We start from the raw sequence: 23,973 nt of genomic DNA, 5'->3' as shown, positions 1-23,973 counted from the left end.
CAATGTCAAGAACCACTCCCCAGGGGGTTCCCTCTCATGAACAATTAAGGCACACGTTCCACAAACAAACAGAATTTTTCAATGACTGATTTTGGAAGTGTCGGTTAGAATGTCTAGCTTAGCAAACAATAAAAGGTTTGGCTTGTGAGCCAACACCATTTGATTGGTATGGGCAGGCTACAGAGAGATGAGAGGGACCTTGAGCCAGGACTCAGTTAAAAAGAGCACAGTGGTCAGTAAATGATGTCTACCCCAGGTTTCGAGGAAGGGGGGATGGCTCATATGTAGCCATCCCGGGTCTAGCTCTTCTAATCCTAGCATGCCCTCCACAAAATAGACTCAAACCATCTGAGCATGCAGAGTCCAGGAGCCTTCCACCCCAGCAGTGCGTGGGCGGGATGAGCATCAGCAGCCTCTCCCGCAGCAGTTCTGAGTATCCTCCTCAGAGTAGCAGTATGGAATGCAATGCTTAGGCCCACCAGAGGCCTCCTGCATCAGACACTCAAGGGGTGGAAGCCCAGAATCTGTGTTTTAACAATGGATACATACTGTGGTTGAAGAACTATTACTCTAGCGGACTTAAAAAAACAATGCACAGATTCTTAAGCTCCACCAGGAGCCACTAAAACAGAACATTTGGGGCACAGAGCCCAGAAACATGTATTTTTTTTTTTTTGAGACGGAGTCTTGCTCTGTCGCCCAGACTGGAGTGCAGTGGCGCGATCTCGGCTCACTGTAAGCTCCACCTCCCGGGTTCACGCCATTCTCCTGCCTCAGCCTCCCGAGTAGCTGGGACTGCAGGTGCCCGCCACTGCGCCTGGCTAATTTTTTGTATTTTTAGTAGAGACGGGGTTTCACTGTGTTAGCCAGGATGGTCTCGATCTCCTGACCTTGTGATCCACCTGCCTCGGCCTCCCAAAGTGCTGGGATTACAGGCGTGAGCCACCGCACCCAGCCAGAAACGTATTTTTTAAGCACCTGGTGCTGAAATGGTGCTAATGCACAGTCAGGCTTGAATACCACTGACCTAGTATTGCTCTCTGTTGGTTTCATTTCCTCAACAGCATTACTAGAAATAATCAAACTATTCATAGAGACCTGCTTGATGTAATTACCCTGGCAAGGTGCTCAACAATGCATATAGCTGGTCACCTCCAGCAGTTCTCCTACCCTCTCAGAAGCTTATTTTCTTCATCTGCAAAATGAAGATGCTCTGATCTCACGAGACTGGGTTGCTGTGGCAACCACGGAGTAAGAGCAGCTGGCTTAGGGTGTGTCCATATGTTGAGTACTCAATGATTCTAGTTGAAAGAAAGAAAAAAGGAAGGAAGAAAGGAGGAAGAGGCAGGCACAAGACAAAATGAATCTCTCCGCTGTGCACATGGAGCCTTAGCTCTGATTCCAGTTGAGCAAAATTATGAAGAAGATGATTCCCCATATGGATGACAGATAAACACCCTGTGGCGAGTCACTCACTCCCGAAAGGCCCTCTGAAGGATCGCGCATGTCCTGACTGCACAGCCTGCTCCTGTAAGTGTATCCTTTTGTTTTGTTCCTGTCAGAAATCATGCTACAATAATTATTTTAACTGATGTTAAAACAGCAAGCTCATGTCAACTCTTGGCTGGAGGCTTCTGGAAACCAAGACACCAGAACATCCATTTGCCTCACCCTGTCATGGGTGAAAATTTTTAATTTACCTAGGAAATCATGCAGGCCATGGGAGAGGGGCAGGCAGCATGGTGTGATGGTTTGGAGGCAGCTTCTGCAGGTCAGATCCTCTGTCTTCACTGGTGATGAGATGACCAGTCCTACGCCAGGACCAGTTGAATCCTCCTGTTCACCTTGGCTATTTCACACCAGTATCTCTATGGCTTCCTTCAGCCCCCAGGGTAAAGCACAAGTTCCTCACCTGCCTTTCAAGCCTTCCAGATCTGTCCCTCCCATCTCACAGCTCCTGCTCTCCTCTTCCCAGAGGAAGCTCCATCTAGGTGACCCTTTGAGAGTCATGGAATACACCCTTAACTCTCACGGCTCCCACACCTTCGCCAGCCTCTCTCCCCTTTTTTGAGTCATCATCATCCTTCGAAGCCAAGGCCAAGTCCTAGAATTAAATGAGCCTCCCCTATCACTCTCAGCCTCAATGGCTCCCTTCCTTCTGCAAACACCTAACTCCTCTACCTCCAATCTCTACCTTGTTTTGAAATTACCGTATTTACCTTCATCCTTTCCACCCCTTTTATCTTATGAACACTTGACAGACATGAGTAGGGCAACCTTGTAATTCATTGTCTAATCAGGATCACTTTTGAGAGTGAAAAGAGGCACTATTAATAATTGTATCAGGATAACAAGCATAAGCAATGATTGTCCCAGACAAAGCAGGATGTCTGGTTACCTTAAAATTAGTCCCGTCTTAAGTCTGTTTATATCCCTCTCAGCACCTGGGCCTTATAAACATGAGTTGATTCAGTGAAATGCTGGGAACCAAACTCGCTGTTGATGGAGGTTCAGGAAGATTAATCTGGCAGTGCTGTGTAGGGTAGATGAGAGCTAGAATAACAGCTCACAGTTATGAATAGAAATGAGTAAGTGACATGCTGCTTTTATTTCGTTCTCTATAGAAATGCAAATGCAGCTCAAGGGCTGATGTAAGGTAGAAACAAGCCTTGCATGAGAAATGCGGTTTGCATAGTTTAATACAATTTAATATCTACTCATGGTCAGCTACGCATCTGTCTCTAATTCCACAGCCACGGTCCTTTCAAAGTCACTGCCTTTGGATGTAAGTTTCTCAGAGAGAATGAGCCTTGTGTCCAATGCCTGGAAAGCAACAGCATTTGGCCACCAAGTTCCTCTTCATCCTCATCAAGCAGCTTTTCCTGTTTTGTTTTTAGCTCCAACCTTAGGACAATGGACAAGTCAATCAGTCCAGATTACCCTGCACCAGGGAAGAGAGGCACCTGACAGCTATACCCTTCACCAAGTCCACGGGGACAAAGGCACAAGAGTAATAGAAGCTGCAGGGAGAATGCAATTCTCATCAACCCTTGGGGTTGCCGCATTGTTTTTGCTCTGTTTTCCAGAAAGTCTTTAACGGAGGAGAAAGGGTGTGGAGGAAGGGAGGGCCTTGCCTATTAGCAGATATTTCAATGCAGTCATCACCCTCCCGCCATTCAATGTCAGGGATCAGCCCTTGCAAAGGAGCAGTCATTGGACAATGGGCACAATCAGGGCTCTGGGTTTTTCTGTCCTGCTGCACATTCGACCCGCCTTCCTCTGCTGAAAAGGCTGCTTTTCCACTAGGCATGCCCTATGTATGGAAAAAACTTCTACCTCTGGTTTGCTTTCGTTTGTACCCACCCACTGCAAACTAAAATTGCATGAAGCAGAGGCTAAGATGGTTTTCCTAGTACAACGAATATCTGCCAACTCTAAATAGAAAGACTTAGATCAATGATGACTAGTTAATTAAGCAAACTTGAGAAAGGGGACTATTCATTTATTCCTTACCTTTCACTGAGCAGTTTAGAGGCTTTCATTGGAAATATCATTAATCACCTGAAATGCCTTGCAATAATAACTGGTATCCCCATTTTACAGTTTATCATGTACTAGGCTCTGCGGTAGGTTCTGGGAATACAGACTTGAACCAGACATGCTTTCAGGCCATCTGCAGGACAAAGCAAATGTTACAGAAGTTAAGTGACTTGCTCAAGGCCCCTTGAAGTCCAGCTTGGAAGACTAAGAACTCAACATCCCTGTGGATCCTGCCAGCCCTGCCAGCTTTCCCAGAGACGCCCAGCTGTTGAGCTTAATCTCAGAGTCACTGGAACAACCACTTCAAGGTTGAATTCGTCACCCCAATCACATGGGAACATTATCTAATTAAGTGGCTCTGCCACTTGAGGGGCAAGGAGAGCTGAAGTCGGGTATTGGGAAACACAGGTTGCTCTTCCATGACAACAGGTCACACAGTTGAAATCCCAAAACCATGGGCAGGACCAGGTTGTGTAAATGAGGTTCAGCTGCCCTGGCTCCCACTGCCACCCTGGCACACAAAGGTCATCTCATCCATTTCCTCCATGTCTTTGTATTTGCTATTCCTCATCCCAGAATCATGGCCCCTTCCTTCTTCCCTGTGGATAATGCCTCTTTTCCCCCCATTGCATCTTACTTATTAATTACAAAATTGTCCCTGGATAATTCTTACTTTGCTTTTAAGATTCAGCTTAGAAATGTTGTCTTTGAGTCTCAATTTCTTCCTCTGTATAAAGGGGACAATAGTAGCTTCTACGACACAAAGTTGTTGCCAGGATTAAAAAATAGATAATGTGTAGAAAGCACAGTGCCCAACATACAGAAAGTGTTTAACAAACGTTGGTTGTCACTGTCATCATTGTCACTCTCCTCTGTGATCACAAACTCTGGCCAGACTTTAACCATTGCAGTGCACCTCCTGACTGCACTGCACTTGTTTATTCCTGTCTTCCCCATTAGGCTCCGGGCTCTTCCAGGGAGGGGTGGGTACATCACCAGCATATCTCCAGTGCCTGGCACACAGTAGGTGTTCAATAAACCTCCTGCATTATCTGAATCAACGAATAAATCCATACTAAACAATAAGCCCTCCTCCTGCGGGTCTGTATCTCTGTGACACGTCTTCCCTGTGAAAGGCACAGGAAGAAAATAAAGGAAGAGAACAGAATGTTCTCGATGCTACTCAGAAATATTCTCAAACAAAGATTCTACATAATTCATTTGTACTTTGACATTTTATGGCCTTCATTTTCTCTGAGTGCTTTCTACAGATATTGTTGTTATTTTTTTCACTCTAAGGACAATGCTCTCAAAGCCACGGTTGTAATAGAAATTGGAAAATCAAAGCAGATCCATGTGGCCTCAGCATAACGAAAACAAGGTAGGCCAAAGAGAAATCAGGTAATGCATGGATTTATGGTCCAAATCATAACCTGTTCACACAAACTACCAATGTCACAGGAGGAAAAAGACACCACACTTTCCAATGGCCAACATATTTTGAACAATATTCAATACAATAAAATTCCAGTAAAGGCCCTTTAAATTAGGTATAACTCTTTTTCCACCCTAAGATCTTTATATTTGGCTTATAAGGAATCCTGTATCTGGGATGGAGCTGAATGTGTACTAAAAGTGACCACTCTTTGCTTAGAGAATTAACAGTTTTAAAGAAGTTGGTCTTAGGAAATGTAGGTATTAGGAAACCTGGTGCCAGCAAGGTAAACTCTGTGGCCAATGGGCTTAGCTCAAAGGTTTTGATGCAATTTAAAAGGTCGGTTTACGCCTCAAAAGGAGACTTATCAGTTAGCAGAAGCTCAAGGTCAGCCTAAAGGCAGGGAAGAAATGGGTTTAGTGTTCAGCATAGGGAGAGCCAAAAAAAACCAAAGGGTTTGGGGAGCGGGTGGGTCTCAGTGACATTATTAACATGAAAACAAAACAAAACAACAAAACGAAACTACTTCCATCACATTTCAGGACAGCGTGAGGGTAACCTAATGATAGACAGTTGTATATGACCAGGATGGAATGTAGGAGCTTAAATCTAACTAGAGCAGAACAGGGGACAGTCCAAGGAGGAAGCTGCCACTTTCTAGAGACCAAGGGAGATGGTGCCATGTGAGCAGATGGGAGGATATGCATCACTGGGGTTCAGCTTTGCAGCCAGATGCCTGGGTTTAAATCCATGCTTCTACCTCTGGGTAGCAGTGGATTTAATGTCTCTAGGCTGAGGTCTCCTCATCTATGAAATTGAGACAAAAATATCTGCTTTAGATGGTAAACGTGAAAAGTTAACAGGCCAATCCTTATAAAGTGCTTAGCCCAGGGTCTGGGACATGGTGAGCATTCCATCAAAGTTAACCATCTGTGTAACTCTTAACAAGGGCACGGGGCATGGAGAACCTGGACCAAGGACCATGCTGTCCCATCTCACACAGCAAGATTTCCCAAGTGTGAGATTTTGGGACACCTGCTTCTTTTCCGTAGTGATAAGCAGTAAATTCCTTAAGCTACAAAGGCTGGGAGGCTTGTCTTCAAGGGTAGCCACAATCAGAAGTCTGAAGAAGGCTATGTGCTTTCTTCCTCTTTCCAGAGAATCCTGAGATTGAGAAGAGGGAGAATACTTTAAAGAGGAGCCCCTCCTACTACAGAAACCTCAGTGTAACAGCAGGAATGACCCTGTGCCTCCAAACATGTGGTTTAAGAGGCAGATCTAACATGACTCTTCAAAAACAAGCCCAGGGAAAAGAGAAGATGACAACATGTAACCAGCAGCCACCTTAGAATGCAGGGGGCAGCTATAGTGCCACCTCTGCAGGCGGATTTACCAGTTTAAATAGATGGTTCTCAAAACTGCAGGCAACTTTGTCCCCAGAGGGACATTCGGCAAAGTCTGGGACATTTTTTGCTTGTCACAACGCAAGAGTTTCTTACTGGCATCTATTGGGTAGAGACCATGGATGCTGCTAAAATTCTAACGGCTCACAGGACAATCCCACAAGAAATAATTATCTGGTCCACAAAACCAACAGTTTCAAGGCTGGGGAACTCTGATGTGGATAAATCAGGCCTGGGTAGATAGAAGGAAAGTACCTTGAGAAGAAACATGTTTGGGTACCCAACTTTAAAGAGTTTGGTCTTAGGGACGTTTATGTGCCAGCAAGGTAAATTCCATGGCCTGGCATGTGTTGCAGCAACAACAGTAACACCACCACCTATATAGTATTTACTATGAGTCAGACAACATTCTAAACCCCTTATCTGTAACTCATGCAATCCTCAAGACAACCTACGTGATAGGTACTATTATCACCCTCATTTTACAGATGAGGAAACTGAGGCACTGGACCTTGCCCAAGGTCCAGAATTACTAAGCAGTAGAACTGAGGTATTAACCAGGCAATCTGGCTTCAGAGTCTGCTATGGTTTCGCTGTGTCCCCATCCAAATCTCATTCTAAATTGTAGCTCTCGTAATTCCCACATGTCGTGGGAGGGACTCAGTGGGAGGTAACTGAATCCTGGGGCAGTTTCCCCCGTACTATTCTCGTGGTAGTGAATTAAGTCTCACAAGATCCGATGGTTTTACAGATGGGATTTCCCCTCCACAAGCACTCTCTTGCCTGCCGCCATGTAAGGCATTCCTTCGCTCCTGCTTTGCCTTCCGCCATGATTGGGAGGCCTCCCCAACCATGTGGAACTGTGAGTCAATCAAACCTCTTTCCTTTATAAATTACCCAGTCTCCGGTATGTCTTCATTAGTAGCATGAGAACAGACTAATACAGAGTCCAGGTTCACATGGTAGGCCCTTGATACATGTGTGATGAGTTAATGGGGAAAAATAAATGGACATGGCTATAAGCAAAAGCATGCATCAAATGTATAAAAAAATACAAAGAGAATACAATTAGGAACAAAAGGACATTGACTTCTGCTCTGTTTCTCCAAACTAACCAAGGAGTGTGCATCCTTGGTAGGGAAGGAAGACAGCTGACATGGGAAGGCTCCACTTGCCAAATTCCTACATCATCAAAAATCAGATCACATCATCACTGGGAGGAAAAGATAGACCACTAACATACAAAGACAGTGCCCAGAAGACTGTGCTATGATTCATTTTGCTCCCCAAAGACTAAGATTTGTGGCCTAAGTGATAAGTTATTCTGTCTGTCAAAACTTTGTTTTAACTGTAATGTGGCCTGGAAACATAACATAGTGGGAATTTAGAAGTTATTTAAAAAACACCTTTTTATGGTTTGGGTTTTATGTGTATAAGTGTGGGAGGGAATGGAAATTTTGAGAAAAAAATTAAAGTACATAAAATACTCATTTTTTCTTAGAACCATTTATAGTCCTAAAGTCACTTCATTATGGTTGAAGCGCACAAAAATATCTACTCTGTATAACTTGGGTTTATTTATAAGAAGACCACATTTAAGATATGGGTACCAGAGTAGAGTTTGTTCAGACACTAATAACAAATTTATAATGTATTTATTTTTCAATATTGCTATAAATGGAATGACAAACGTCCAAAGGAAGGAATTTATACACTCAGATTGTGTGGGTTTCTGTGAAGCAGGCAAACTCTAGAACAAAAGAAATATTCATATATAGAAAAACAAAGGTTTTTTGCCCTTGAACTTAGTAGTGATTAAATACCAAAAAGAGTTCTTTAAGAAATCAGGGCAGAGGGTGTCATAGAGAAGGAACACTCAAAAGTCAATGTATATCATTTTTGCCATAAAAAAATGGGGCTGGTAGCCCCAGTTATCCTTGTGTCTCCAGCTTACATCATCCCCAGTGTCCGCTTCCTCTGATGATCTCTCAACATCTTCTGCAAACAGAATCTGTGACCCAAGATTTTTTTAGGTCTCATATTTCATTTCTTGATTTGGAGATCACCCACCAGAGGACAACTCCTTTCACAATCTAGAGATGGAGGGATGTGAAGGAGGCAAGAGTTAACAACAGGAGTCAGGCAGATCTGCCTTGATGGAAGAGGAATGATTATGGCTTCTTTCTGGTCTTCCTGTCACCAGGTTAACACTAGGATGGCCAGGACCAAGACTCCTCCACAGGAGAGAGTTGGTAGATACCACTAGGATGGGAGAATGAAATACCAATTAAAGTCAAGTCAGCCAAAGCTGGGGATGGCAAAGAGGGACTCTGTCCACAGTGGAGAAGTCCATAAGCATTGACAGAGATGTTCCTTCTATGTTCCACTTTTTGCCTTCAACTCATGGGTACAAGCATACTCAGAAAGAAGTCAGAGATTTGAAGGGGAATCCTGGCCCTAAACAAAGAAGAGGCTAAGATGCCAGGACCGTACCATTATTCCCAAACTAAAAGCCTGAAGATGTTCTCCTTCTGCAACATTGTAAAGGGCCTTCCAAACACAAACACAAAGTTTTAAGCTTATTGCTCCATTTTTAATAGAAGCAAATTAGATTTTTCTGCTGTTGACTTTGAATCCAAGAAATTTAGAGCAGCACAAATTAGTGAACACTGAAATTCTTTTCTTAATAAGGTCTCTTTACTCCAGTTTATTTTTTTCATAAGTAGAAATGCTCTTAATTTTTCAGCAGCAGTCAGTTATATTTATGCCATTAGAAACGGAAGGCTTGACAAACACCAGCTGGAAGAGACACAGTGTCTGCTTTAGAATCAGCTTCCAATTCTGTAGGGGTTCTGGGCTGGACACCCTCAAATGAGTGCACGCCCTGTGCTATTCTTTAAAGAGCATCTTTGTTTTCTGGTCACTCCCAAGGGACAATCTCACACTGTTCCAGAGACTTTTATTGCCATTTCAGTACTGGTATTTGATTCACTGCACTGTCTTCTTCCTCCTTTTCCTTCTCCTCTTTTTTTTTAATTGAGGTATAACATACATAAAGTACACCAAGTATGCTCACTGTAAATGTATGAATTCTTATACTTTTAAGATCCATGTAATCCCAACCCTGCTCAAGACTTAGAATATTTCCAACACCCTGGAAGGTTCCCTCATGCCCCTCACTATTGAATAGCCACCCTCACCCCCTGTTGGTATCCACTATTCTGATTTTATTTTCATCAAAAACTATCTTTGTCTATACTTGAACTAAATATACATGGAATGATACTGTACATACTTTTACATCTGGCTTCTTATTGTCAATATAATGGCTCTGAAATTATTTCGGTTGTTGCTTATATCAGTAGTTCATTTTTAACAGTTTCATTGAGGTATAATTGACACATAATCAATTACATATTTGAAGCATACAATTTGATAAGTTTTCTCATATGTATTCCCCCCTGAAACCACCACCACAATCAGATAATGCACATATCCATCACCCAAAAGTTTTTGTAGCCGTTGGTAACCTTCATTTCTTCCCTTACTATCATCCCTCCTAAACATTGAGCATCTTTTAATGTGCTTATTGGACATTTGCATATCTTCTTTGGAGAAACGTCTATTCAAGTCCTTTGCCCATTTATGAATCATGTTGTCTGCTTCGTTGTTGAATTTTGTAAGTTCTCTATATACTCTGGATATCAATCCCTTATCAGATATATGATTTGCAAATACTTTCTCCCGTTCTGTGGGTTGCCTTTATACTCTGTTGATAGTGTCTTTTTTTTTTTTTATTTTTTTTTTTTTTAATGTTTTTTTTTTATTATACTCTAAGTTTTAGGGTACATGTGCACATTGTGCAGGTTAGTTACATATGTATACATGTGCCATGCTGGTGCGCTGCACCCACTAACTCGTCATCTAGCATTAGGTATATCTCCCAATGCTATCCCTCCCCCCTCCCCCGACCCCACCACAGTCCCCAGAGTGTGATATTCCCCTTCCTGTGTCCATGTGATCTCATTGTTCAATTCCCACCTATGAGTGAGAATATGCGGTGTTTGGTTTTTTGTTCTTGCGATAGTTTACTGAGAATGATGATTTCCAATTTCATCCATGTCCCTACAAAGGACATGAACTCATCATTTTTTATGGCTGCATAGTATTCCATGGTGTATATGTGCCACATTTTCTTAATCCAGTCTATCATTGTTGGACATTTGGGTTGGTTCCAAGTCTTTGCTATTGTGAATAGTGCCGCAATAAACATACGTGTGCATGTGTCTTTATAGCAGCATGATTTATAGTCCTTTGGGTGTATACCCAGTAATGGGATGGCTGGGTCAAATGGTATTTCTAGTTCTAGATCCCTGAGGAATCGCCACACTGACTTCCACAATGGTTGAACTAGTTTACAGTCCCACCAACAGTGTAAAAGTGTTCCTATTTCTCCACATCCTCTCCAGCACCTGTTGTTTCCTGACTTTTTAATGATTGCCATTCTAACTGGTGTGAGATGATATCTCATAGTGGTTTTGATTTGCATTTCTCTGATGGCCAGTGATGATGAGCATTTCTTCATGTGTTTTTTGGCTGCATAAATGTCTTCTTTTGAGAAGTGTCTGTTCATGTCCTTCGCCCACTTTTTGATGGGGTTGTTTGTTTTTTTCTTGTAAATTTGTTTGAGTTCATTGTAGATTCTGGATATTAGCCCTTTGTCAGATGAGTAGGTTGCGAAAATTTTCTCCCATGTTGTAGGTTGCCTGTTCACTCTGATGGTAGTTTCTTTTGCTGTGCAGAAGCTCTTGAGTTTAATTAGATCCCATTTGTCAATTTTGGCTTTTGTTGCCATTGCTTTTGGTGTTTTGGACATGAAGTCCTTGCCCACGCCTATGTCCTGAATGGTAATGCCTAGGTTTTCTTCTAGGGTTTTTATGGTTTTAGGTCTAACGTTTAAATCTTTAATCCATCTTGAATTGATTTTTGTATAAGGTGGAAGGAAGGGATCCAGTTTCAGCTTTCTACATATGGCTAGCCAGTTTTCCCAGCACCATTTATTAAATAGGGAATCCTTTCCCCATTGCTTGTTTTTCTCAGGTTTGTCAAAGATCAGATAGTTGTAGATATGCGGCATTATTTCTGAGGGCTCTGTTCTGTTCCATTGATCTATATCTCTGTTTTGGTACCAGTACCATGCTGTTTTGGTTACTGTAGCCTTGTAGTATAGTTTGAAGTCAGGTAGTGTGATGCCTCCAGCTTTGTTCTTTTGGCTTAGGATTGACTTGGCGATGCGGGCTCTTTTTTGGTTCCATATGAACTTTAAAGTAGTTTTTTCCAATTCTGTGAAGAAAGTCATTGGTAGCTTGATGGGGATGGCATTGAATCTGTAAATTACCTTGGGCAGTATGGCCATTTTCACGATATTGATTCTTCCTATCCATGAGCATGGAATGTTCTTCCATTTGTTTGTGTCCTCTTTTATTTCCTTGAGCAGTGGTTTGTAGTTCTCCTTGAAGAGGTCCTTCACATCCCTTGTAAGTTGGATTCCTAGGTATTTTATTCTCTTTGAAGCAATTGTGAATGGGAGTTCACTCATGATTTGGCTCTCTGTTTGTCTGTTGTTGGTGTATAAGAATGCTTGTGATTTTTGTACATTGATTTTGTATCCTGAGACTTTGCTGAAGTTGCTTATCAGCTTAAGGAGATTTTGGGCTGAGACGATGGGGTTTTCTAGATAAACAATCATGTCGTCTGCAAACAGGGACAATTTGACTTCCTCTTTTCCTAATTGAATACCCTTTATTTCCTTCTCCTGCCTGATTGCCCTGGCCAGAACTTCCAACACTATGTTGAATAGGAGCAGTGAGAGAGGGCATCCCTGTCTTGTGCCAGTTTTCAAAGGGAATGCTTCCAGTTTTTGCCCATTCAGTATGATATTGGCTGTGGGTTTGTCATAGATAGCTCTTATTATTTTGAAATACGTCCCATCAATACCTAATTTATTGAGAGTTTTTAGCATGGAGGGTTGTTGAATTTTGTCAAAGGCTTTTTCTGCATCTATTGAGATAATCATGTGGTTTTTGTCTTTGGTTCTGTTTATAGGCTGGATTATGTTTATTGATTTGCGTATATTGAACCAGCCTTGCATCCCAGGGATGAAGCCCACTTGATCATGGTGGATAAGCTTTTTGATGTGCTGCTGGATTCGGTTTGCCAGTATTTTATTGAGGATTTTTGCATCAATGTTCATCAAGGATATTGGTCTAAAATTCTCTTTTTTGGTTGTGTCTCTGCCCGGCTTTGGTATCAGAATGATGCTGGCCTCATAAAATGAGTTAGGGAGGATTCCCTCTTTTTCTATTGATTGGAATAGTTTCAGAAGGAATGGTACCAGTTCCTCCTTGTACCTCTGGTAGAATTCGGCTGTGAATCCATCTGGTCCTGGACTCTTTTTGGTTGGTAAACTATTGATTATTGCCACAATTTCAGAGCCTGTTATTGGTCTATTCAGAGATTCAACTTCTTCCTGGTTTATTCTTGGGAGAGTGTATGTGTCGAGGAATGTATCCATTTCTTCTAGATTTTCTAGTTTATTTGCGTAGAGGTGTTTGTAGTATTCTCTGATGGTAGTTTGTATTTCTGTGGGATCGGTGGTGATATCCCCTTTATCATTTTTTATTGTGTCTATTTGATTCTTCTCTCTTTTTTTCTTTATTAGTCTTGCTAGTGGTCTATCAATTTTGTTGATCCTTTCAAAAAACCAGCTCCTGGATTCATTGATTTTTTGAAGGGTTTTTTGTGTCTCTATTTCCTTCAGTTCTGCTCTGATTTTAGTTATTTCTTGCCTTCTGCTAGCTTTTGAATGTGTTTGCTCTTGCTTTTCTAGTTCTTTTAATTGTGATGTTAGGGTGTCAATTTTGGATCTTTCCTGCTTTCTCTTGTAGGCATTTAGTGCTATAAATTTCCCTCTACACACTGCTTTGAATGTGTCCCAGCGATTCTGGTATGTGGTGTCTTTGTTCTCGTTGGTTTCAAAGAACATCTTTATTTCTGCCTTCATTTCGTTATGTACCCAGTAGTCATTCAGGAGCAGGTTGTTCAGTTTCCATGTAGTTGAGCGGCTTTGAGTGAGATTCTTAATCCTGAGTTCTAGTTTGATTGCACTGTGGTCTGAGAGATAGTTTGTTATAATTTCTGTTCTTTTACATTTGCTGAGGAGAGCTTTACTTCCAACTATGTGGTCAATTTTGGAATAGGTGTGGTGTGGTGCTGAAAAAAATGTATATTCTGTTGATTTGGGGTGGAGAGTTCTGTAGATGTCTATTAGGTCTGCTTGGTGCAGAGCTGAGTTCAATTCCTGGGTATCCTTGTTGACTTTCTGTCTCGTTGATCTGTCTAATGTTGACAGTGGGGTGTTAAAGTCTCCCATTATTAATGTGTGGGAGTCTAAGTCTCTTTGTAGGTCACTCAGGACTTGCTTTATGAATCTGGGTGCTCCTGTATTGGGTGCATAAATATTTAGGATAGTTAGCTCCTCTTGTTGAATTGATCCCTTTACCATTATGTAATGGCCTTCTTTGTCTCTTTTGATCTTTGTTGGTTTAAAGTCTGTTTTATCAGAGACTAGGATTGCAACCCCTGCCTTTTTTTGTTTTCCATTGGCTTGGTAGATCTTCCTCCATCCTTTTATTTTGAGCCTATGTGTGTCTCTGCACGTGAGATGGGTTTCCTGAATACAGCACACTGATGGGTCTTGACTCTTTATCCAACTTGCCAGTCTGTGTCTTTTAATTGCAGAATGTAGTCCATTTATATTTAAAGTTAATACTGTTATGTGTGAATTTGATCCTGTCATTATGATGTTAGCTGGTGATTTTGCTCATTAGTTGATGCAGTTTCTTCCTAGTCTCGATGGTCTTTACATTTTGGCATGATTTTGCAGCGGCTGGTACCGGTTGTTCCTTTCCATGTTTAGCGCTTCCTTCAGGAGCTCTTTTAGGGCAGGCCTGGTGGTGACAAAATCTCTCAGCATTTGCTTGTCTGTAAAGGATTTTATTTCTCCTTCACTTATGAAGCTTAGTTTGGCTGGATATGAAATTCTGGGTTGAAAATTCTTTTCTTTAAGAATGTTGAATATTGGCCCCCACTCTCTTCTGGCTTGTAGGGTTTCTGCCGAGAGATCCACTGTTAGTCTGATGGGCTTCCCTTTGAGGGTAACCCGACCTTTCTCTCTGGCTGCCCTTAACATTTTTTCCTTCATTTCAACTTTGGTGAATCTGACAATTATGTGTCTTGGAGTTGCTCTTCTCGAGGAGTATCTTTGTGGCGTTCTCTGTATTTCCTGAATCTGAACGTTGGCCTGCCTTGCTAGATTGGGGAAGTTCTCCTGGATAATATCCTGCAGAGTGTTTTCCAACTTGGTTCCATTCTCCACATCACTTTCAGGTACACCAATCAGACGTAGATTTGGTCTTTTCACATAGTCCCATATTTCTTGGAGGCTTTGCTCATTTCTTTTTATTCTTTTTTCTCTAAACTTCCCTTCTCGCTTCATTTCATTCATTTCATCTTCCATTGCTGATACCCTTTCTTCCAGTTGATCGCATCGGCTCCTGAGGCTTCTGCATTCTTCACGTAGTTCTCGAGCCTTGGTTTTCAGCTCCATCAGCTCCTTTAAGCACTTCTCTGTATTGGTTATTCTAGTTATACATTCTTCTAAATTTTTTTCAAAGTTTTCAACTTCTTTGCCTTTGGTTTGAATGTCCTCCCGTAGCTCAGAGTAATTTGATTGTCTGAAGCCTTCTTCTCTCAGCTCGTCAAAATCATTCTCCATCCAGCTTTGTTCTGTTGCTGGTGAGGAACTGCGTTCCTTTGGAGGAGGAGAGGCGCTCTGCGTTTTAGAGTTTCCAGTTTTTCTGTTCTGTTTTTTCCCCATCTTTGTGGTTTTATCTACTTTTTGTCTTTGATGATGGTGATGTACAGATGGGTTTTCGGTGTGGATGTCCTTTCTGTTTGTTAGTTTTCCTTCTAACAAACAGGACCCTCAGCTGCAGGTCTGTTGGAATACCCTGCCTTGTGAGGTGTCAGTGTGCCCCTGCTGGGGGGTGCCTCCCAGTTAGGCTGCTCGGGGTCAGGGGTCAGGGACCCACTTGAGGAGGCAGTCTGCACGTTCTCAGATCTCCAGCTGCGTGCTGGGAGAACCCCTGCTCTCTTCAAAGCTGTCAGACAGGGACACTTAAGTCTGCAGAGGTTACTGCTGTCTTTTTGTTTGTCTGTGCCCTGCCCCCAGAGGTGGAGCCTACAGAGGCAGGCAGGCCTCCTTGAGCTGTGGTGGGCTCCACCCAGTTCGAGCTTCCGGGCTGCTTTGTTTACCTAAGCAAGCCTGGGCAATGGCGGGCGCCCCTCCCCCCAGCCTCGTTGCCGCCTTGCAGTTTGATCTCAGACTGCTGTGCTAGCAATCAGCGAGATTCCGTGGGCGTAGGACCCTCTGAGCCAGGTGTGGGATATAGTCTCGTGGTGCGCCGTTTCTTAAGCCGGTCTGAAAAGCGCAATATTCGGGTGGGAGTGACCCGATTTTCCAGGTGCGTCCATCACCCCTTTCTTTGACTCGGAAAGGGAACTCCCTGACCCCTTGCGCTTCCCAGGTGAGGCAATGCCTCGCCCTGCTTCGGCGCGCGCACACACTGGCCTGCGCCCACTGTCTGGCACTCCCTAGTGAGATGAACCCGGTACCTCAGATGGAAATGCAGAAATCACCCGTCTTCTGCGTCGCTCACGCTGGGAGCTGTAGACCGGAGCTGTTCCTATTCGGCCATCTTGGCTCCTATTTCTGCTCGATAGTGTCTTTTTAAGGCACAAAATTTTAATTTTCATGAAGTCCAGTTGGCTATTTTTCTTTTGTTCCTGGTGCCTTTGGTGTCATATCCAAGAAATCACTGCCAAAACTAATATCATGAAGATTTTGCTCTACATTTTCTTCTAAGAGTTTTATAGTTCCAGGTTTTACATTTAGATGTTTCATCCATTTTGAGTTAATTTTTATACACGACATCTTTTCCCATCGAATGGTCTTGGCACCATTGTCAAAAATCATTTGATCATATATTCTAGGGTTTAATTCTGGGCTCTCTATTCTATTCCATTGGTCTCCATGGCTGTCAGTGTCACACTGTTTTGGTTACTATAGCTCTGCAGTAAGTTTTGAAATCAGAAAGTATGAGTCCTCCAACTTTGTTATTTTTTCAAGATTATCTTGACTATTTGGGGTCCTTTGAGACTCCATATAAATTTCAGAATGGCTTTTTTCTATTTCTTTGAAATAGAAAATTGTCCATATATATGTATAAAAATCAATTGTCCATATATATATAAAAATGTATATATATATATATATATATGTGTGTGTGTGTGTAGGTCTATTTTTATGCTCTATTCTATTCCATTATCTATTTGCCTACCTTTACACCAATAACAACTGGGATTTTTATAGGAATTGCATTGAATCCATAGGTTGCTTTGCATAGTACTGATATTTTAACAATATTAAGTTTTCCAATTCATGAACATGGGATATCTTTATACTTATTTATGTCTTCTTTAATTTCTTTCAGCAATGCTTTCTAGTTTTCATTATACAAGTTTTCACCTCCTTGATTAAGTTAATCACCAAGTTCTTTATTTTTTTCAATGCTACTGTAAATAGAATTGTTTACTTTATTTGCTTTTCAGATTGATCTTTTCAGTGTATAGAAATGCAATTGATTTTTGCATGTTGACCTTGTATCCTGCTACTTTGGTGAATTCATTTATTAGTTCTAACAATCTTTTTACAGATATTTTAGGGTTTAACATACAAGATCATATCATCTGTGAAGAGAAAAAGTATTCCTTCTTCATTTCCAATTTGGAAGCCTTTTATTTCTTTTTCTTGCCTAATTGCTTCTCCTAGAACTTCCAGTGCTGTGTTAAATAGAAGTGGCAAAAGTGGGCATCCTTGTATTGTTTTTGCTTTCACCATTGAGTATGATGTTCACCGTAGGTTTTTCTTATATGGTCTTTATTATGTTGGGGTAATTTCCTTCTATTCTTAGATTGTTGAGTCTGAGTTAGTTTTCGTATATTGTACAAGATACAGATTGAAGTTCATGTTTTTGCACATAGATATCCAATTGTTTCAGCATTATTTGTTAAAAAGACTACCTTTCTCCTTTATAAAAAATCAATTGTCCACATATATATATATATATATATATATATATATATATATATATATATATATATATGTATAGGTCTATTTTCATGCTGTATTCTGTTCCATTATCTATTTGCCTATCTTTACACCAATAACATGCTATCTTGATTACTGGAGCTAATAATATAAATATTATGGAGTACAAGTCTTGCAATTTTCTTCTTCTTTCTGAAATTTGTTTTGGCTATTTTAGGGCTTCTACATTTTCATAAGAATTTTTAATCATCAGTTTGTCAATTTATATTAAAAGTCTGCTAAGAATTTTATTGGAATTGTGTTAAATCTATAGGTCAATTTGAAGAGAATGGTTATCTTAACAATATTGAGTTTCTTGAACCATAAACATCATACATTTATCCATTTATTTGAATTTATAATTATTTTTTTTTGAGACAGAGTTTCACTCTGTCACCCAGGCTGGAGTGCAGTGGCATGATCTCGGCTCACTGCAACCTCTGCCTCCCAGGTTCAAGCAATTCCCCTGCCTCAGCCTACTAAGTAGCTGGGATTACAGGCGCGTGCCACCACACCCAGCTAATTTTCATATTTTTAATAGAGACGGGTTTTGCTATGTTGGCCAGGCTGGTCTCGAACTCCTGACCTCAGGTGATCCACCCACCTCAGACTCCCAAAGTGCTGGGATTACAGGCGATATTTGAATATTTTTAGGATTCCATTTTATTTCATTTTTGGCATATAAGCTAAAATGCTTCATTTTGTCACTTTGATGGCTTCTTTGAGGTTTATAACTTACATCTTTAACTTACCACAGTATACCTTCAAGTAACGTGATACCATTTTACATGCATTATAAAAAGAACCTTATAATATCATACTTCCTTTTATGATCGTCTTCCAATTCATGAACATGGCATGTCTTTATACTTATTTATGACTTCTTTAATTTCTTTCAGCAATGCTTTGTAGTTTTCATTGGACAAGTTTTTCACCTCCTTAATTTATCCTTTTCTGGCATTTATACTATTACTGTCATACATAATTTACTTATACACATATTATAAACCCTACAACAGATGATTATTATTTGTATTTAAAGAGTCAATCTTTAAAAGATGCTTAATTTAGGAGAAACTTTTAAAATATAGTTACCTATGTAGCTATCATTTCTGGTGCAGTCATTCCTTTGAGAAGATCCATATTTCCACCTGATATCTTCCTTCTGCCTAAAGAACTTCCTTCAACAATTCTTATGGGGCAGGTGTAGTGTAGCATTTGTATGTCTGAAAATGTCTTTATTTTACCTTCATTTTTAAAAGATATTTTTGCTGGGTATGAAATTTTAGGTTAACAATTTTATTCTTTTAGTACTTTAAAGATGTTGCTTCACTTGCATGAATGACAGGAGGCAGAGAATCTACTGTCATTCTTAACTTTGTTCCCATATATGTAATATGTCTATTTTTTCTAAGGGCTTTTTAAATTTTTTTCTGTACCAGTGGTCTTGAGCAATTTGATTATGATGTGACTTGATGCCATTTTTTTTCATGCTTCTAGTGCTTGGAGTTCATTGACATTCTTGGATTCATAGTTTTCATCAAGTTTGGAAACTTTTCTATTATTTCTTCAAATATTTTTTCTGTCTCCCTATCTCTTCTCCTTTTGGTACTCTAATTGCCCATGTATTAGCCAACCTGAAGTTGTCTCAGAGTTCACTGATGCTCTGTTCATCTTTTTTAAATTCTATTTTTCCTTTTTATATTTCACTTTGGAGAGTTTCTACTGCAATATCTTCAAGTTCACTTGTTTTTTTCTTCTGCAATGTCTAATCTGCCATTAATCCCATCCAGTATATTTTTCATCTCAGATCTTGTCATTTTCATCTCAAGAAGTTAGATTTGGGTGTCTTTTTAATATCTTCCATGCCTCTACTTAACTTTATGAATATATGGAATATGGTTTTAGTAATTTTTAATATCTTTGTTTTCATATTCTAAAATATGTGCCAGTTCTGAATTGCTTTCAATTCAGTGATTATTCTCCTCATTATGGGGAATAATGTTAATATTTTTCTGCTTCTGTGCAAGCCTGGTAACCTTTGACTAAATGCTAGACATCTTGAATTTTACCTTGTTGGGTGCTGGATATTTTTATATTCCCATACTTTATGCTAGGATACAGTTAAGTTATTTAGAAACAGATTAATCATTTCATTACTGCTGTTTTAATTTGTTAGATCCAGAGCAGGACACAGTCTAGGGTTAACTATTCCCCCAATACTGAGGTGAGAGCTTCCTGAGTATTCTATTCAATGCCTCCTGGATTATGAGTTTTTAAAGTATGCCTAGTGGGAACAGTCACTGTTCTTGGTCCTGAATGAATGCTGGGCACTGTTCTTTTTCATTCTCTTGGATGATTCTTTCCTCAACCTCAGATTGTTTCCTCAAATGTGTGTGCTGATCAGTAGTATGCTGCATCCTTATGGAGGATCTCCTGCAGAGCTCCACAGTCTTCTGTCTGTGTAGTTCTCTCCTCTCTGGTACTCTATCCTGCAGACCATCATCACTTGGTCTTGCTGGACTCTTTTTCTTTTTTCCAAGACAAAGTCTCACTCTGTTGCCCAGTGAGATCTCGGCTCACTGCAACTTCCGCCTCCTGGGTTCAAGAGATTCTCCCGCTTCAGCTTCCCGAGTAGCTGGGATTACAGGCACTCACCATCATGCCTGGCTAACGTTTGTACTTTTGGTAGAGATGGGGTTTCACCATGTTGGCCAGTCTGGTCTTGAACTCCTGACCTCAGGTGATCCGCCTGCCTTGGCCTTCCAAAATGCTGGGATTACAGGCTTGAGCCACCATGCCTGGCCATCTTGCTGGACTCTTAAGTCTATCTCCTTAACTCAAGATGTCTAACAGGTTCTGCCTAGCATACCCCTCCCTGCACCAAGACCAGGAAACTCTCAAGGCAGTAAGCTGGGGACATTTTATGACTCAATTCATTTATTTTCTATCTCTGAGTGATAACTATCTTTTGTTGTCTAAAGTCCAAGGTTTTGAAAAACATTATTTCATATATGTTATCTGGGTATTTTTGGTTGTTTCAAGTGAGAAGGTAAATCCAATCCCTGGTGCTCCATCTTGGCTAGAAACAAGTTATTTTTTCCTTATTGTTGTTTGGTGTTCTCTTGTATAAACACACTATAATGTATTTCTCCATTCTCTTATTGATGGACTTTTGGGTTATTTCCAGTTTAGCTTTATTGTAAAGGAAACTACTCTGAATATTGTTATCCATGTGTTTTGGTGGATATATGTCCATATTTATCTTGGGTAAATACCTAGGAATACAGTAGCCAGATCATAGCATGGGCAATGTTTAGCTTTAAGATACACTGACAGTTTTTCAAAGTGGTTTACCATTTAAACTCCCACCAGCAGTGTATGAAAGTTCCAATTGCTTCCTATCCTCACCAACACTGGTAGTGTTTTTTATTTTAGCCATTCTGGTAGTGTCACACTGAGATTTTAATTTGTAGTTACCTAAGGACTAATGATTTTGATTGACTACCTTTTCATATGCTTATCAGCCATTTGGATATCATCTCACATGAACTGTCTGTTTAAGCCATTTAAATTGACTGGCTTAACTTTTTCTTAATGATCTGAAGGGGTTCTTTATATATTCTGAATAAAAATCTTTTACCAAATATATTGTTGTAAACATCTTTACCCTGTCCATGGCGTATCTTTTCACTGTTTTTATGATGTGTTTCAATTTTTAAACAACCTCGACTCGAATGTAGTACAATTTTATGGTTACTGATTTTTGTGTCTTGTTTAAGAAACCTTTGCCTACATCAAATTACGAAGCTATTCTCAAATGTTTTCCTCTAGGAGCATTACTGTTTTTTCCTTTCTTCTTATTGAATATAGCAGCAATAATTTGAGTTTTATGTAGCCTAAAATTTTTTTCCCCTTCTATAGGCTTTCTGTTCAATATCCAACTGCAAGACATTGTCAAGGGGCAATTTGAAGTCACTGGTTGCACATCCTACCGCATTAATAGTGCCTGTAACCCATCACGAGGTCCTCTGCTGTTTGCATCGTGACCTGCTTATCAGTTAGCAACACAAATATTTTACCTCACCCTTACTTCATTCTGCAGTATCTCTGTTCTCTTAGAGTTTCTATAAATAACAGGTTAAAAAAGCAGTTCCCCTTGGCTGGTGGCCGTGACAATGAGTTTTTAGTTCCTGTAGCTTTCATTGTTTCTAAATTCTCTATAATAAACATAAATATTTTTAATTTAAAAAGTTAACAAAAAAAAAGTTTGAGCAGTTGTGATTAAAGTGTATGTGTGATTTTTCATATGTGGAGCTAAAAAATACAATGTCTCACAATCTTTCCTGCATACAGTATGTTGACCATACACATTATGACTTGTAAAAAAACTTGTTCATGGAGTGTCTGCTAGGCAGACAGTAGAATAGTTCATTAATTTTAAAGCATTCTACAATCGACATATTTTCCCTTACTAATAACTTATTGTTTTATTAAAGTCTTGCTCAAGTTTTTTCCTACTCTTGGTTTCACTTTATCCACAAATGAAGCCACAGAAAGTTTTAAAAATGTAGTCATTTGCCAAGTATCTTTAATTAATTGCCAAGAATGGAAGTTGAATAGTTCTTTGTGATACTGTTCATATTGCAGGAACATGAGGACGACTTCTGGGCAGAAACATCTGGAAAGAGCTACTTAAACTCTGTACCAGCGTCCTCTTTTCCTGCACTGTTGTGGGACAGTTTTTGCAGAGATGTATCAAGTCACCTGAGCAGCATTTGGAAATGCATAGTTTACTTGACAGCATTTACAAATTATGTCTTTTCCTCAGAATAACTTACACTGTAGAAATGCTTCCATATGCTAAAGTTGGACACACCATTGTATTGAGAAAAAAAGTGATGTCTTTTAGTAGCAGTTTTCATATACATACTAAACTACAGTGTACACAAATTAATAATGTTGTCCCTTAAGAATTTACCATAAATGGTTTTCTAATTCTTTATGCCCCAGCTGTCTGCTAAAGATTGTGAGTAGATTTTGCCACAAAACAGTGGGTCAGCAAAAATTGAATTATGATTATCTAAGTAATGAAAACAATTTGATCACAATGGTAAGTCTTATGCCTTGATGAAAAAAATACTTTTACCCAAAATCTTCTGTGTTTCTTAAAGTCCCAGGAGCAGAAAATTTCCCACTTCAAATTCCAAAACACGTATACTTGCAGTTAACACCTTTCTATCCTGACTTTAGAGCAAGAGTTGGCAAACTGTGCCCCATGGGCCAAATCTAGCTCACTACCTGTTTTTGTAAATAAAGTTTTATTGGAACACAGCCATGCTTATTCATTTACACATTGTCTATGGCTGGCTTTGTGCTACAAAAGCAGAGTTGAAGAATTGTGACAGACTTTATAGCACAGAAAGCCTAAAATATTCTCAACAACCCTTTATTTAAAAACATGTTGACTCCTGTTTTAATAAGCATTTCCTCATTTCACATCTTGCAGGAATAAATGGATGTTACTACTACTAGTACTGCTTCTGCTGCCAAGTTTTTGAGCACATAACCAGGATGACAACCACAGTTCCACAAAGCTCTGATAAAACATCAAAAAGAAACTCACCACCAAGGAAACCAGAGAATCCTTTCTTGTCTTGAGTGAATGGCAATGATCTTGGTGGCCAAGATAATAAATACACGTTTATTATATTGAAAAACTATTCTAAAATATATGTTCTCTATATAAAGTAATCTCCACATGATTCTGAGAAAAAGTTTAATCTATCTTTCTACTACAAAGTTCTTAATAATGCTTTGACAAGGAGGTACCATATCCCAAGATGTGATACACTTTGCTCAGTTTTTAAATTAAACATTCTAGAGTAACTTATAGAGTGATGTCAGCATGATGGCCAACTAGAGTTGCCTGACACAAAAAGGTACCAAAACAATAAATAAACTACACTTTGACTGGAGTTACTGATGAAGTACACTGGAAAGCACCGGGGGAGCAACAAAATTTCTATAGAGCATGGAAGCCCAGGATAGCACCACAGAGAGGGAAGTGAGATATCCTCCCTCTGCCACATGGTATCCCCCACCAGGACCAGCTCAGAGCCAGGGAAACTTCTTCTCACGGGGAAAAAGTAAGCTGGAATCCTTTGCCCCATCACCTCCATAGACAGGAACAGTCATTGCTATAAAAGGGTCTCCCAGTCCTCACAGGACCAGAAACCAGTGTGGACAGTTACTGGGAGTTCATGTGGCTGCATTGCCCCAGAACAGGAAACACTTTAGCATTCCAACCTCCATGACCTAAGCTG

The 23,973-nt window shown here is 40.2% G+C and overlaps 1 protein-coding gene and 1 long non-coding RNA gene across 7 annotated transcripts in view; one reads left to right on the top strand and one right to left on the bottom strand.

Moving 5' to 3' along the window:
• THSD4 (thrombospondin type 1 domain containing 4) overlaps nt 1-23,973 on the bottom strand; it is a 686,490-nt gene that overhangs the window by 593,038 nt on the left and 69,479 nt on the right. The window lies entirely within an intron of this gene.
• Nucleotides 1,287-23,534, top strand: THSD4-AS1 (THSD4 antisense RNA 1). Of its 4 annotated transcripts, NR_120348.1 has the most exons (4): nt 1,287-1,530; nt 4,840-4,921; nt 7,130-7,240; nt 23,157-23,534. It is a non-coding gene; the product is annotated as a THSD4 antisense RNA 1 (long non-coding RNA). The 4 variants fall into 4 exon arrangements; NR_120351.1 differs by lacking the exon at nt 7,130-7,240; NR_120350.1 differs by lacking the exon at nt 7,130-7,240 and having other exon boundaries at nt 4,840-4,941.

The sequence above is a fragment of the Homo sapiens genome, chromosome 15 (genome assembly GCF_000001405.40).
Source record: "Homo sapiens chromosome 15, GRCh38.p14 Primary Assembly".
NCBI classification, from domain to species: domain Eukaryota; kingdom Metazoa; phylum Chordata; class Mammalia; order Primates; family Hominidae; genus Homo; species Homo sapiens.
The sequence above is the reverse complement of the archived record's forward strand: the minus strand, read 5'-3'. Positions and strand labels throughout refer to the sequence as shown.